Source organism: Homo sapiens, chromosome 17 (genome assembly GCF_000001405.40).
Source record: "Homo sapiens chromosome 17, GRCh38.p14 Primary Assembly".
NCBI lineage: Eukaryota > Metazoa > Chordata > Mammalia > Primates > Hominidae > Homo > Homo sapiens.
The window spans coordinates 66,194,150-66,211,223 of NC_000017.11; the positions used below are offsets into that span (position 1 = coordinate 66,194,150).

The 17,074-nt window shown below is 42.4% G+C and overlaps 1 pseudogene, besides 1 other annotated feature; it reads left to right on the plus strand.

The window, feature by feature from the left end:
• PSMD7P1 (proteasome 26S subunit, non-ATPase 7 pseudogene 1) lies at nucleotides 3,446–4,558 on the plus strand (annotated as a pseudogene).
• Nucleotides 15,293–15,858: an enhancer, noted in NCBI's record as "OCT4-NANOG hESC enhancer chr17:64205560-64206125 (GRCh37/hg19 assembly coordinates)". NCBI's record gives its function as "activates a minimal SCP1, AML or CMV promoter by ChIP-STARR-seq in naive H9 embryonic stem cells {active_cell/tissue: H9 hESC(naive)}" and the evidence as "EXISTENCE:reporter gene assay evidence [ECO:0000049][PMID:30033119]".

The following is a 17,074-nucleotide window of genomic DNA, read 5'->3' on the forward strand; positions in this document are numbered from 1 at the left end:
GCTGAGGCAGGAGAACCGCTTGAACCCAGGAGGTGGAGGTTGCAGTGAGCCAAGATCACGCCACTGCACTCTAGCCTGGGTAACAGAGTGAGACTCTATCTCGAAAAAAAAAAGAAAAAGTAAGTCATCCTAAAGAGATCTGGTTCAATGGCAATATGCAAAATTGAAGGGGAAAGTGATGATGCATGAAGCAAAGTGTTGGCCGTGAGTTGCCCTTCATGTAGCATCTTCCTCTTTGTATAAGAGAGTGATTCCTAATCTTACAGTGTAAAGAACTTCCTTTGAGAATTTTCTTTTTTCTTTTTTTAGAGGCAGAGCCTGGCTCTGTCACCTAGGCTGGAGTGCAGTGGCATGATCATAGCTCACTACAGCCTCCAACTCCTGAGCTCAAGCAATCCTCCCACCTCAGCCTCCCAAGTAGCTCAGTCAGAGACAGAGCACTATGATAGGGTAGTTCCATCATACACAGAGCACCCATGTGACTCACCCTGGGGACCTCTACAAATATTTGGGAAGAAATTGCTGAACTCAGAGCCTATTCAGGAACCTCAAGGATGAAGCCAGGTAAATATTCTCTTGTCGGCCAGGCGTGGTGGCTCACGCCTGTAATCCCAGCACTTTGGGAGGCCGAGGCAGGCGGATCACGAGGTCAGGAGATCGAGACCCGCCTGGCTAACACGGTGAAACCCCATCTCTACTAAAAATACAAAAAAGAAAATTAGCAGGCGTGGTGGTGGGCGCCTGTAGTCCCAGCTACTTGGGAGGCTGAGGCAGGAGAATGGCATGAACCCGGGAGGCAGAGCTTGCAGTGAGTCAAGATCGTGCCACTGCACTCCAGCCTGGGCGACATAGCGAGACTCTGTCTCAAAAAAAAAAATATATATATATATATATATATATTCTCTTGTCACTGTTGTAGTGTAGCTCCAGGCTTATGTGGCCTAAAAAATGCAGTGTCTTATAAATGTTTTATGGCCAAACACCTATGGTAATCAATGAATTTTCCTTCTACGTCTAGTTACTGCATAAAGATAATAATCTTCCAACTCAATGTACATTTATTGAACATCAGGTATATGCAGGCATATTAAGGGAATGTTTCCTCCACTGGAAATGCTATGACACTTTGCTCTTCACCTTAGCTTAAATATCAGTACCTCAGAGAGGCCTTCACTGATTCTCAAACCAGCCCTTATTTCCTTTCAAATCCCCTGGTTCTCTTTTCTTCATTGCATTTATCAAAATTTGTCATCAAATATTAATTAGTGGAATCTATTTATTTATTTATTTATTTATTTGAGACGGAGTCTCGCTCTGTCGTCCAGACTGGAGTGCAGTGGTGTGATCTCAGCTCACTGCAACTTCCACCTCCCGGGTTCAAACAATTCTACTGCTTCAGCCTTCAGAGTAGCTGGGATTACAGGCGCGTGCCACCACACCCAGCTAATTTTTTATATTTTTGGTAGAGATGGGGTTTCACCATGTTGGCCAGGCTGATCTTGAACTCCTGACCTCAAGTGATCCACCCACCTCTGCCTCCTAAAGTGTTGGGATTACAGGTGTGAGCCACTGCACCCAACCCAGGTGTAATCTTTTAAAAATGCCTATAGTTTCCAAAAGAATGAAGACGATACCTGTTAGGTTCACCATTGCACAGACAGCACCTTGCAGGGTACCTACCATATAGAAACAATCCATAAATGTTCACTGAATCACCAAATGAATGAACATTAATTTTCGTGCTTTTCTCTGCACATGTGGTAGAATATGACCACCCTATGCATAAAGCTTCCAGTCTAGAAACCCGGAAGACTAACTTTTCTGAATATAAATCTCTTGCTACGGAGAGTGAAACTGAGTGATCTAATTTGAATCAGGTAAGCACAATTAGTCCAATGAGATATGGCCAGGAGATAGGGCATCCTATTGTATAAACATGACTTTCTTAGCTCATCTTTGCACTTTGGGGAGAGGGTTTGGGGTTATTTTCTCAGAGGACTGAACTGATGGGTAAACCCAAATGGTTCTAACTACAACAAAGATTCTGGACTTATGAGAAAAAAGATAAGTCTCTACCCTCCAAAAATTTATGAGATAGTAGGAGGTAATAAGACAAATACCAAATAACCACATTTCAACTCAGATTATGTCACCTGGCTTAAAAGGTATATAAATAATGCAGCTGGGCGCGATGGCTCACGCCTATAATCCCAGCACTTTGGGAGGCCGAGGTGGGCGGATCACAAGCTCAGGAGTTCGAGACCAGACTGACCAACATGGTGAAACCCCCATCTCTACTAAAAATACAAAAATTAGCCAGGCTTGGTGGTGGGCACCTGTAATCCCAGCTACTCAGGAAGCTGAGGCAGGAGAATTGCTTGAACCCAGGAGGCAGACATTGCAGTGAGCCAAGATCGCACCACCGCACTGCAGCCTGGGTGACAGAGTGAGACTCTGTCTCAAAAAAAAAAAAAAAAGATATAAATCACGTTTTGGGATAGAGAGGAAATAAAGAAAACACCGTGCTGTGCTTATAAAGTCAGCATAGGAAAATATATACAGAACCTTGTTTTATCTTTGATAAAAAGAGAGTGACATTGAAACACTATTTCTATTGAAAATATTGTTTCCTAACAGCTACAAATGACTTAAATGAAAGTAGGTTTGTTTCAAAAACAAATGACATCTTATCTCAATTTTTAAAAATCAAATGGTGACATTGTTGATAATGGTAGTACAAAGAGGACCCTAAAAATAATTGTTTTTATTTTCTGTGTGGGAAGATAACTGTGCTATACTTCCCATGTTGAAAGGGATCTGCTTATTTTCAAAATATAAACTTAAGAATTAGTCTAGATGACATTGAACAATGTGAATTCAATTATTCTCTACAGAAAAAATCAATAGGAAAATGTGAGCTTTTATTAATTAGAAAGATAATTATTCGTCTGTAATTTGAACTAATCTGTATCTTGAAGGATTAAATCTGATGATCTGTATAGATATGTATGTGTGTATATATATATATATATATATTTTTTTTTTTTTTTTTTTGAGACAGAGTTTTGCTCTTGTTGCCCAGGCTGGAGTGCAATGGCGTGCTTACTGCAAACTCCGCCTCCCAGCTTCAAGCGATTCTCCTACCTCAGCCTCCCCAGTAGCTGGAATTACAGGCATGTGCCACCACACCCGACTAATTTTTTGTATTTTTAGTAGAGACAGGGTTTCTCCATGTTGGTCGGGCTGGTCTCGAACTCCCGACCTCAGGTGATCCACCCGCCTTGGCCTCCCAAAGTGCTGGGATTACAGGCATGAGCTACCGCACCCGGCCAATCTGTATAATTTAAACTCTTGCTCCATAAAATTAAAGTAACTATAGTGGGAGACCTAGAGATTACCGTTGTTTGTTTAAGCCACTGTTATTTGGGTTTTTTGTTTTGCTGAGGGAAGAAGAGCCTGGGCCTGATGGAGCCCCAGGGAAATCACTACCGCTGCCGGTGTTTGCAGGTAGCAGGGAGCCAGGCCTGGGCGAGGTGTGTCTCGATGCCAGAGCTGGTAGTACAGAAGGTGGTGGGCCATCCCCGGTGCTGCTCAGCGTGGTGGATCATTTCAACCGAATCGGCAAGGTTGGAATCCAGAAATGCGTCATTGGTCTGTTTTGGGGGTCATGGCAAAAGAAAGTACTTGATGTATTGAACAGTTTTGCAGTTCCTTTTGATGAAGATGACAAAGACAATTCTATGTGGTTTTTAGACCATGATTATTTGGAAAACATGTATGGAATGTTTAAGAAAGTCAATGCCAGAGAAAGAATAGTTGGCTGGTACCACACAGGCCTGAAAATACACAAGAATGGCATTACCATCAATGAACTCATGAAAAGATACTATCCTAACTCGGTATTGATCATTATTGACGTGAATCCAAAGGACCTAGGGCTGCCCACAGAAGCATACATTTCAGTGGAAGAAATCCAAGATGATGGAACTCCAACCTTGAAAACATTTGAACATGTGACCAGTGAAATTGGAGCAGAGTAAGCTGAGGAAGTTGGAGTTGAACACTTGTTACGAGACATCAAAGACACAACACAACGGTGGGCACTCTGTCCCAGCGGATCACAAACCGGGTCCATGGTTTGAAGGGACCGAACTCCAAGCTTCTGGATATCAGGAGCTACCTGGAAAAAGTAGCCACAGGCAAGCTGCGCATCAACCACCAGATCATCTACGAGCTGCAGGACGTCTTCAACCTGCTGCCAGATGTTAGCCTGCAGGAGCCTATTAAAGCCTTTTACCTGAGGACCAATGACCAGATGGTGGTAGTGTACTTGGCCTCACTGATCCATTCTGTGGGCCTCACTGATCCATTCTGTGGTCGCCCTGCACAACCTCATCAACAACAAGATTGCCAACCAGGATGGAGACAAGAAAGAAGGGCAGGAGAAAAAAGAGAGCAAAAAGATAGAAAAGCTGACAAGGGGAAAGATAAAGATAAGGAAAAGAGTGATGTAAAGAAAGAGCAGAAAAAGTAAAACGTGTATTAAATAGCTTTTTTATGCCTGTAATCCCAACATTTTAGGAGGCCAGGGCGAGTGGATCACCCAAGGTCGGGAGCTCGAGACCAGCCTGACCAACATGGAGAAACCCCGTCTCCACTAAAAATACAAAATTCGCTGGGCATGGTGGCACATGCCTGTAATCCAGCTACCCAGGAGGCTGAGGCCAGAGAATCGCTTGAACCTGGGAGGCATAGTTTGAAGTGAGCCAAGATCACACCATTGCACTCCAGCCTGGGCAACAAGAGCGAAACTCCGTCTCAAAAAGATAAATAAATAAAATTAAAAATTAAAAGTAAAAAGTTTTCATGGTTTCAAAGTTTCATTTCCCTTATAAGGAAATTGAAAAATACTGGAAAGTTTAAAGAAGAAAAGACTTATGTGCAATCCTGCCATTAAGTAATAACTACTATTAACATTTGTATATATTTACTCAAATTTTTATATCTATATTATCATTTTTAATATCTACTTATTATGTCATCATATGGATATGATAATTTTCTCAATTACTCTCCTGTGTTTACCAATTCTTGCCCTTATAAATAATGTTGCAATGAATGCCTTTGATTATATACATCTTGGTTGAAATTTTAGCTCTCTCCATAAAAGATATTCTTATGGGCATTATAAAAGCATTAAGGCTTTTGATCAGTACTGCCAAATCACTTACTGGAAGTATTTTTCAAATTGCAACTTCACTCAATGGTCTGTGCGAATGACTGTCTCACATTAATGGTTTTTTAGATCTGTGCTAATTGTGTGTAAAAAAAAAAAGCATCCCTTTTTACTTTGCATTTTTCACTATTAGAGAAGTTGAAATATTTAAATATCTCTATTAGTCTTTTATTCTTCTGCAAAGTATCTCTTTTGTCCTTTATCTATTTTTGTGGAACTTTATATATAGTTATATGGATATATTAGACAGATATAAGTATCTTCCATATTTTTAATTTATTGTTTCAAAATTAGCAATATGCATAAGCTAACATTCAAAGCAATCAAATTTCCGTGATTCACCATTTTGCATTATTAAGATACTCCATCATTAGAGTGAAAAATGTAAATGACTTTTAGCTATCTAGATGGAAAACAATTTGTAAATACCAAGAATTGTAATTATTATATAAACACATTAGAGACAAATATGAAAACAATCCTGTACCTGGTAAATTCCTTAAACTGAATGGTAAGTAATGCAGAACTTTCTATTTACAGACCACAGAAGTATAGATTATACCACAAATGAATGCATTATAGGCCAGGCACAGCGGCTCACGCCTGTAATCCTAACACTGTGGGAGGCCGAGGAAGGCAGATTACTTGAGCCCAGGAGTTTCAGACCAGCCTAAGCAACATAGCGAGACCCTGTCTCTATTTTTTTAATAGAATAAATAAATAAATACAGTATAAAGATTGCAGAAACTAAGAATGAGGAGGCATATTTTCTTTTTTTCACTACTAAGAAAAGAGTCACTGCCTTTAGCACAGTGACTTTGGATTTCTTCCTTATGCTAGAACTAAGCAATATTCACCATTTCATTCCTCCTTCTGCTGCTTTTTCTATCTTAGCCTCTTGGGCAATTCATGCTATAGGATATTAACAGAGATAAACTGGCTACTCTTTCTCCCTTCCCTTCAGTGATATACATATTGCCATAATGCCCTAGCCAGTATCCATAAAAACTAGCAACCTAGGATACTTCCAAGCCTTGAATATACAACAATCTTTTCTACCAACTTGTTTCAGGAGTAGGCTGTAAAACTCCAACTTTAGAATGCAAATATTTCCAGGAAGCTACTGGGAAAAATCATAGCTTAACTAGCAGTATAAAAATGGTACGAAAGAAATCATTCTGAAGTTTAGATATCTGGTTCTGTCATTTATTAGCTTTGTGACCTCGGTAAACTAAGTTACATAATCTTCCTGAGCTTCAGTTTATTTATTTTCCTTATGGGATGATTGGGGAGATTGAATTAACAGAGGTGAGATATGTAGAAAAATGTACCCAGTGCCTGACACAGGAAACTTCAATATGAGGGCTTCTTTTCTTTCCCAACTGTTTTGCCAGCACTTTGGAAAGGAATAGATGCCACTAGGAGGCAGCAATGGCACACAAAGAACTAATTATCATGTGCACGTGCATGCGCAGACACACACACACACACACACACACACTCACATGCATACGCATGGGCACATACACAAAGCACACACACTCAAACCACATACACAAATCCACATGCATGCCACACATACCACATATATACTCACACTCACACAAAAGCAACAAATATTTGCACAGCAACCACATACACACCCACACACAGGCATACTGGCACACACATGCACACAGCTCAAGTTGTTTTCTTTCCTTTTCTTTCTTTCTTTTATCTTTTTAATCTTTTATTGAGAGATTAAAGCAGGGAATGATCCTCAGGTTAATAGATAGGAAATGTCACTGAGGAATAGTACTTATTATTAAGTTTGGGGCACAGGAAAGAGATCCTATATATTGAAAGATTGGTCCATGTATTAGAAACGAGAGAATTATGTTATAAACTTCTTGCAGAAATATAGCATAAGAGATACGTGAAAACATTGATTCCTTTGCATTTAGAACGCCGTCCTGCCATAAACCAAGAGAAAAAAGACGGTCATTGAGAAGCACCTTCAGGGACCAACTTGTCTTGGAAGAAGACCTCCCTAGCCATGTGCATTTATAGAGTGTATAGTTATATAGTTATATGCATTTGTAGAGTTACAGTTATATAGTATAGAGTTCATTTAGTCTATGATTGCTAGGTGAGTAATATTACTTTGGGAAGATTCAGTTCAACTGTGCAAAAATAGAGGATGGGCGGGGCGCAGTGGCTCACGCCTGTAATCTCAGCACTTTGGGAGGCCGAGGCGGGCGGATCGTGAGGTCAGGAGATCAAGACCATCCTGGCTAACACGGTGAAACCCCGTCTCTACTAAAAATACAAAAAATTAGCTGGGCGTGGTGGCGGGCACCTGTAGTCCCAGCTACTCGGGAGGCTGAGGCAGGAGAATGGCGTGAACCCGGGAGGCGGAGCTTGCAGTGAGCCGAGATTGCGCCACTGCATTCCAGCCTGGGAGACAGAGCGAGACTCCATCTCAAAAAAAAAAAAAAAAAAGGAGGATGATAACCAGCTCCTTATGGTTGTGGTTCTTTCTTCACTAGGCTACCTGTGGCGGTTAGTACTTCCTGTACCATCTCCAGTAGGGGGAGATCACCGCAAACTATGGCTAGGGAGGGTACGGCACAACTGTGATGACAGGCAACCTGGTGATCAAAGCATTTAAGAAGAAAAACACTTGAAAAAGGGAATCTACTTATGGCACAAAATAGACCACATAATCACTAAATAGAGGGGCTGCAATTGGGCAGTTTCTACCGATGGACTCCTCAAATCCAAATTGCCTCTTCCAATTACAAAAATAGCAGATTTTTATTTCTGTGAAAATACGATTAAATGAGAGGAATCAGGACTATCGTCTAAGCTCTAAAGTCTGCTCTGATTATTTTTCAGTGATCCAAACCTATCCAGCCCCCTAAAATGCCTTCCAGTGAACAAAATGGCACAAAACACAACCTTCAACAAACTTGCCATATCCCAGGAGCTTCTTTGTAGAATAGGCTGGGGAAGGGAGGAGTGTTGGAAAAGTGCTAAGGGTTTAAAACAGAAGTGCTGAGGTGTCAAAGTTAGGCATGCTGACTATCTGGTGCTATCAAAATGCAGACCTAATTATTGTGTATATGAGTAGTGCATGTGTACATAAATATGTGTATGTATTTCCTAGCTCTGTCTGTTGAAGAAGACCTAGAAGCAGTGATGCCTCTGTATCAATGAGCACTACACCCAGACACAATGCAGACCTTGATTTCTTTTTTTTTTTTTAAGACGGAGTCTCACTCTGTCACCCAGGTTGGAGTGCAGTGGTGAAATCTCGGCTCACTGCAAGCTCCGCCTCCCGGTTCACATCATTCTTCTGCCTCGGCCTCCAGAGTAGCTGGGACTACAGGCGCCCGCCACCGCGCCCGCCACCATGCCCGGCTAATTTTTTGTATTTTTAGTAGAGACGGGGTTTCATCGTGTTAGCTAAGATGGTCTCGATCTTCTGACCTCGTGATCTACCCACCTCAGCCTCCCAAAGTGCTAGGATTACAAGCGTGAGCCACCACGCCCGGCCCAGACCTTCATTTCTAAACACCGTTATCTTCAGTTCATTGGGGAAATGGCTGAGGTTTAGAAAGCTGAGGTTTACAAATTATGACAAGCTTGGAGTATTGTGTTTTAACCAAAAGCATGGTGGTGCACACCTGTTGTCCCAGCTACTGGGGAGGCTGAGGCAGGAGAATTGCTTGAAGCCAGGAGGCAGAGGCTGCAGTGAACCGAGATCGTGCCACTGCACTCCAGCCTGGCTACAGAGTGAGACTCCGCCTCAAAAAAAAAAAAAAAAAAAAGAAGTGGTGGAGCAAGATGGCCACATAGAGACCTCCAGTGATCATCCCCCTCACAGGAACACCAAATAGAACAACCATCCATGCAAAAAAGCACCGTCATAACCAAAAATCCCTGTACCTGGCTTTAAAATTATATCAAGGAAAGGGGCATTGAAGAGGCTGGGAAAGACAATCTCGAGTTGTCGACACCACCCCTCGCTCTTCCCCATCAGTGGCCATGTGGTGCAGAGGGAGAATCTGTGTGCTTGGGGGAGGGAGTGTGAACTGTTTGTTGGACTTTGCATTGGAATTCAGTGCTGTCTGTCACAGCAGAAAGCCACACAGGGCAGAATTCACCTAGTAACCACGAGGGAGCATTTAGACCAGCCCTAGCTGGAAAAGAATCATCCATCCCAGCAGCCAGACAGAACTTGAGTTCCAACTAGCCCCACTACCATGGGGTAAAGTGCTCTGGGGTCCTAAATAAACTTGAAAGGTGGTCTAGGCCACAAGGACTGAAATTCCTAGGCAAGTCCTAGTGCTGTGCTGAGCTGGAGCCAGTGGTCTTTTTGTGCACACAACCTGTGAGACACCAGCTGGGGTGGCCAAGGGTGTGCTTGTGTTACCCCTCCCACGACCTCAGGCAGCACAGCTTGCAGCTCCAGGAGAGACTACTTCCTTCTGCCTGGGGAGAGGAGAGAGGAGGGTAAAGAGAACTTTGTCTTGCAACTTGCATTCCAGCTCAGTCACAGTAGAATAGGGCACCAGGCTGAATCCTGAGGCCCCCGTTCCAGGCCCTGTCTGCTGGACAACGTTTCTTGACACACTCTAGCCACTGTCTTAAAGAGAAGTACCGGTTCAGGCAGGATTCATTACCGGATGATCCAAGAGTCCTCGGACTTGAATTAACACCACCAGTTGCCAGGCAGTACTCACCACAAGACTTGAGTGAGATCCCGCGCCATGCCGACTTCAGGTGTGACCCAGCACATTTCCAGCTGTGGTGGTCACAGGGAGAGACTCCTTCTACTTGAGGAAAGGAGAGGAAAGAGTAAAGGGGCTTTGTCTTGCAGCTTGGGTACCAAGTCGGCCATAGTGGGATAGAGCACAAAGCAGGATCCTGGGGTCCCTGATTCCAGGCCTTGGCCCCTGAGTGGCATTTCTGGACTTGCTCTGAGCCAGAGGGGAGCACAGTGCCCAGTGCATGAAGGAAGAGACTGAAGCCTGGCAGCCTTCACCACAAGCTGACTGAAGAGCTCTTGGGCCTTGAGTGAACATCACTGGTAGCCAGGCAGTGATCACTGCAGGCCTGGGATTGTGGTGACTAGGGGGAGAGACTCCTTCTCCTTGAGGGAAGAAGATGGAAGAGTAGGAAGGACTTCATCTTGCGGTTTAGGTGCCAGCTCAGGCGCAGTGGAAAGAGCACCAGGTAGATTCCTAACGTTCCCAAGTCCAGGCCCTGCCCAGACAGCATTTCTGGACCTGCCCTGGGCTTAGGGAGAGCTCACCACCCTGAAGGGAGGGACACAAGCCTGGCTGGATTCGCCACCTGTTGACTAAAGAGCCTTTAGGCCTTGAGTGAACAACAGACGGTAGCCAGGCAAGACCCAGTGCCGTGCTGGCTTCAGGTCTGACCTAGTACAGTCCCAGTTGTTGAGGCCACAAGGCTGCTTGTGTCACCCAGCTCCAAGCAGTTCAGCATGGAGAAAGAGACTCTGTCTGGGTGAAAATAAGAGAAGAGAGCAAGAGTCTTTGCCTGGTAATCCAGGGAATTCTCTTGGATCTTACTTAAGACCACCAAAGTGATACCTTAAGAGCTCTGCAAGAGTCATCATTGCTGGGCTTAGGGTTCTCCTAGTGCACATATTGTTGCAGTGACCAAAGACTTAGATCACAACACTCGATTGCCTTTGAATACTTGGAAAGCCTTCCCAACAAACAAGCCCAGACTGCAAAGACTGCAATAAATACCTAACTCTTTAATGCCCAGACAACAATTAATATCCATAAGCATCAAAACCATGCTGGAAAACATGACCTCACCAAATGAACTAAATAAGGCAACAGTGACCTATCCTAAAGAGAGAGATATGTGACCTTTCCTACAGAGAATTCAAAATAGCTGTTTTGAGCTTCCTCAAAAGTCAGGATAATACAAAGAAGGAATACAAAAGGATAATACAAAATTCAGAAAAGTACAAAGAAGGAATTCAGAGTCCTGGGCCGGGCACGGTGGCTCACACCTGTAATATCAGCACTTTGGAAGGCCGAGGCGGGCGGATCACCTGAGGTCGGGAGTTCAAGACCAGCCTGACCAACATGGAGAAACCCCATCTCTACTGAAAATACAAAATTCACTGGGTGTGGTGGCGCATGCCTATAATCCCAGCTACTCGGGAGGCTGAGGCAGGAGAATTGCTTGAACCCGGGAGGCGGAGGTTGTGGTGAGCCAAGATCGCACCATTGCACTCTAGCCTGGGCAACAAGAGAGAAACGCTGTCTCAAAAAAAAAAATTTGTTTTTTAAATAAAATTAGGAAGTACCCAAAGGATATGGAGACATATCAAAAAGACACATGAGCCACTTGAAGTGGCTCCCACTGATCAATTCTGTGACAACTCAAGCATCAAAATAATTAATTATATTAGTGAATCATAACTCACTGAATAAGGATCCATGTGTTCACACTAATATTAATTAACTAATTAATTTGGGGAAATGGGAAAGTACTCCCTTACAGCAGAATGAGAAATAATAAATGTAGAAGGAGTGATAAATTTAAAAATTACTTGTTGGCAACCATCACAAAAACAATTGATTTAGGTAAAAATCTAAAATTACTGGATGAAAATTTGATGAAAAACAGGATATCCACATAGTTGTGAAGTATCTCCCCATGAGATACTGATTAATTAATTACAAAGGACAATATAGTAAGATTACAATGTAGAAATCTGGCAGACATCAGATTTCTAGCCAAGTAATCATAGTTAACATTACCAATAGTAATGGCATAAATTGATATCATGTACTTCCTGATATGATGCACTAAGAAGATTACAATCTCACTTCTCTTGTAATCCCGGCAACAATACAACTGAAATCGCGTCATAACATAACTTCAGACAAACCCAAATGATTGTCCTCTACTCTTTAAAAATATTAAGATTGTGAGGGGGCACAGTGTCTCACCCCTGTCATCCCAGCACTTTGAGAGGCCAAGGTGGGCAAATCTCTTGAGGTCATGAGTTCAAGACTAGCCTGGCCAACATGGTGAAACCCTGTCTCAACTAAAAAAAAAAAAAAAAATTAAATAGGCATGGTGGTGGGCACCTGTAATCCCAGCTACTTGGGAAGCTGAGGCAGGAGAAGTTGCAGTGAGTGAGATCACACCACTGTACTCCAGCCAGGACAACAGAGCAAGACTCCATCTCAAATATATATAGATTGTAAGAAAGGAGGAAGAAAAATGGAAGAACTCTTCTAGATCTAAGAAGACTAAAAAGCAGGGCCATCTCATCTACAGTGGAGAATTAGATGCCACTTGAGAAACAATTTCTAATATACTAGATGCTTGGCACCAAGTGACCAGGCAGTTACAGCTGCCCATCACCAGCTATATTCTGTCATACCCACCAAGTCATGAGGTCAAGTGTGCCTAGCAACAACTCATGATAAGATGATAATGGATATACCCTGAAGCTACGTGATCAGAAGGTCAAAACTCCACATCATCCATCACTGTTGTACTAATGGCATTCCTAAGTGCACATCTATAGCCATATGACCCCATATGATCCCGTAGGACCAGCTTAGAGCGGAGGAAAAAGCCTGAGCTTGGTTCATGGATATGAAGGTCTGTACATGTGTGTAGGTAAAAAAAAGGATGACAGCTACAATACAGCTTATTCAAAGAGCATCTTGAAAAACAGTGGTGAGAAAAAGTCCTCCCCATGGGAAGAATTTTGGATGGTCATCTTCCTTGTGTGGAAAAAGAAGTGGCTTATGATTAGAATATATATGAACTCATAGGTAGTGGCTTGACAGAGTCTGAGAGGTGAGAAGAAAGATGGGTAGATCAGGTACAAAGAGGACTAGGAGTAGAGGCATGTGAATGAATAAATGGGGTGGGCACAAAGTGTGAAGATCTTTGATGCACATGTTAACTCCCACTAGCAAGGTACTACATAACCAGATAGAGAAAAAGACTCAGCCAGTTGACAGCATCTGGCCTCTAACACTGGCCACCCCAGTGCTGGCATAATGGCCACATGACTGAAATGGCTATGGTAACAAGGATGGAGATAATTCATAGGCCCAACAGCATGGTCTCCTACTTATATAGATTGATCTGGATGCTGCCTTGGTTGAATGTCCAACCTGGCAAGCAACAGAGACCAGAGGCCAATGTTGAGCCTCCAAGATGACACTATCTCACAAGCAGATCCACTGGCACATAAGGTATCAAGTTGACTGCATTGGACCTACTTCTACTGAAGGAGTACAGATCCATTATGCTGGGAATCAATACTTATTTGGATATGCATTTGTTTTTCCTGCATCACTATCTGAGGACTTACGGAGTTCGAATCCACTGATACAGGATCCCACATAACATTGTATCAGACCAGATAACCCATTTTATAGTAAAGGAGGTATGACAATAGGCCCCTGACCACAGGACCAACTGATCACATTACCTACCAAACCATCCAGAAGCTGCCAGCTGATAGAACCTTGAAATGGCCTGTTGAAAGCATAATCAAAGCACCAGCTTTGAGATATGATCCTCTATGATGAAGTATATACTTTAAATCAAACATCTTCATTGTCTCCCCAGTAGGAACAATACATGGGTCTGGGAATCAAGGATTTGAAGCAGCAGTGGCCAAGTTATTATCTCTCCCCTTGACTCACTTGGGGACACTTATGCTTTTGTTCCACATCTGAAATCTATAAATAGTTTAAAAGGCCTTGTTTCCAAAAGGGAAACACTTCCACTAGGGGCACAGCAAGTCCTATTGAACTATAAACTACAGATGGTGCCTGGCAACTTTGGGCTCCTTTTGCCAAGGAACCAGCAAGCAAAGATCTCACCATCTTAGAAAGGGTCATTGACTCTGATCATCAGGAGCAAATAGGGCTGCTGCCTCCTCAGTACTCCTTGATACAATTTTGATTATAAAAATCATAGAAACATCAGAAAGGCATAGAGGCCTTTCAGACCCCTCAAGGATGAAGGTCTTTGTCACACCACCAGAAGAGCCACTGAGACCAACAGAAGAGCCAGCCAAGGATGAGGAGAATACGAAATGGATGGTGGTGGAGGAAGAAGATGAGTATCAGTTGCAGTTCGAAGGCCAACTGCAGCATCAGGTGTTGTAGTTTATCTCACTAACCTTACTCTACTGAGTTTCACCCAAGAAAAGAGGTCTATCAGAATCCTGGAGGAGCTATTCTCAGAAAGCATACAAAGCAGTGGATCAAGCAAAAAAAAAAAAGAGTGTATTGTCATGGGTACTGTACTGTGCCATCCAATTTTCCTTTAAGGACTGAAGGGCAATGAATTGAGGGAAGTCACAGGTAAACAGTAAAAAATTGAGGCTCTCTTCCAATAGCCCAAAGGGAATTGAATCATGCCAACAACCACTGAGTGAGCTTGGAAGTGAATCCTCCTCCACTTGACCCTTCAGATAAGACTGCAGCCCTGGCCAACCCCTGACATTCTGTAGAAAATCAATTGACTATAATGTGTGAGTTTATTTTTGAACTGCCTATTCTCTTACATTGGTCTATGTGTCTGTATTTTTACCAGCTGATTTGATTACTATAGCTTTGTAGTATATTTTGAAGTTAGATAATGTGATGACTGTAGCTTTGTTCTTTTCATTCAAGATCGCTTTGGCTCTTCAGGGGCCTTTGTAGTTTCATACAAATTGTTTTTTCTATTTCTGTGAAAAATGTCATTGGAATTTTGATAGGGATTGCACTAAATCTGTAGATCACTTTGGGTAACATGGACATTTTAACAATATTAATTCTTCCAATCTATGAACATTAATATTATTCCATTTATTTGTGTCTTTTTAAATTCCTTTCATCAATATTTTATATTTTTCAGCATACAAGTCTTTCGCCTCCTTGGCTAAATTTCTTCCTAAGTATATTTATATATTTTTGTAGCTATGTGAATGGGAGTTTTCTTAATTTGTTTTTCAGACGGTTTGCTATTAGTGTATAGAAATGCTATGATTTTTGTATGTTAATTTCATATCCTGGAAATTTACTGAATTTGTTTATTAGTTCCAACATATATTTTAAATTTAAAAACAATAAAATGAATTATGAAGCATTTGCAACAAAAGGTGGGATAATACAAAAATATTCTCTCCCCTTTTTCAGAGCCAATGCAGTGACTATGTGTGGGCAAGAGAAGACATTCTAAATGCTTACTGCCCTCCTTCCATGTCTAGAGCTGTTAGGTAGGATAAGAGAGGTCTATTTTTAAACTGACATGCAACAAATTAAAGAAAACAATGGTTCTAAAGCTTTGTGCTTTGAGAGGAGGAAACCAGAGCAGATGGTTTTTTGTTTGGCAAAAATCCCTAAATAGGGCTTTTGGTTTACAAAGGGGAAATACCACAACCTCTCAAACTCCACCTTCAACACACACACACACACACACACACACACACAACACACACACACACACACGCACACACACACACATACACAGAGTCTGAAGGAAAGAATTGAGGAAGAAAAAGTAAAATTTTGTTGTTGTTGTTATTTGTTTGTTTGTTTGTTTTGAGACAGAGTTTCGCTCTTGTCGCCCAGGCTAAAGTGCAATGGCGCCATCTCGACTCACTGCAACCTCCACCTGCCAGGTTCAAGCGATTCTCCTGCCTCAGCCACCCAAGTAGCTGGGGCTACAGGCACCTGCCACCATGCCCAGCTAATTTTTTGTATTTTTCTAGAGACGGGGTTTCACCATGTTGGCCAGGCTGGTCTCGACCTCCTGACCTCAGATGATCCACTTGCCTTGGCCTCCAAAAGTGCTGGGATTACAGGTGTGAGCCACCACACCTGCCCATAAAATTGTTTTTTAAGGTTAAGTAAAGGGAATTTGGAGCTTTTGAATGAAAGCCTAGAAGGGAGGGGAGCCACTCTGGTTTCTGTAAAAGGAGGAGGAGCAGAGAAGCATCTTGGAGAAAAGATCTGGTCCACATCACACGGAATCGGGTTAAGTTCTGAGAAAGAGGCATGGGTGGGGAAATCCTATGGAGAATGCAGATTGTGGAGAAGTGATGGGTAGTACCTAGTGCAGATGGCAGAGGAAGTAACTCCAGGACTTTTGTAAAAACAGGGACTAAAGAGTTGGAGCAGTAGCTGGAAGAAAGATGTGAAGTAACAGGGCTTCTTTTTTTAATGGGTGATATTACTGTATATCTGTATGCTGATTGAAGTGTTCCAATAGAAAGGAAAAAATAAACATGGATAAGCATTAATTAGAGGAGTAAAATCCTTAAGTAGGAGAGAGAAAATGGGACCTAGCACATAAAGAGAGGGTTTGTCCTTAGATGTTCATCCATTGTAACCTGACAGAAGGCAGATTCTGTGGTTGCCGATGCTGGTAGAATGATGGATTCGGGAGTGGAAAGATTAAAAAAAAATGATCTTTTGATCTTTTCCATTTTCTCAGTGAAATAAGGAGCCAAGTTATCAGCTAAGGGTGAGGAGAAGGAAGGTGGCTTGAGAAAGGTTGAGAAGTGAAATAGCCACTTTAGAGAGTAAGGGAGTGAACAAACTAGAGAAATATAATAGGATTGTCGGGCAGAGCTGGAGGCCCATGTAAAGTTTGTGTTTATGAATTTAAAATGGGACCTATTGGCATGGTTGTGAGTTTCTCTTTTTTTCCAGCCACGTTCAGTTCCTTAGGTGCAGGCATAAGGAAGGCAGATGGTGCCAGGGATGAGTTTGGCCAGCAAACACTACCAAAGGAGAGAAGAGCAAGGGAGTTGAATATATGCAAAGGAACGACGTCAAT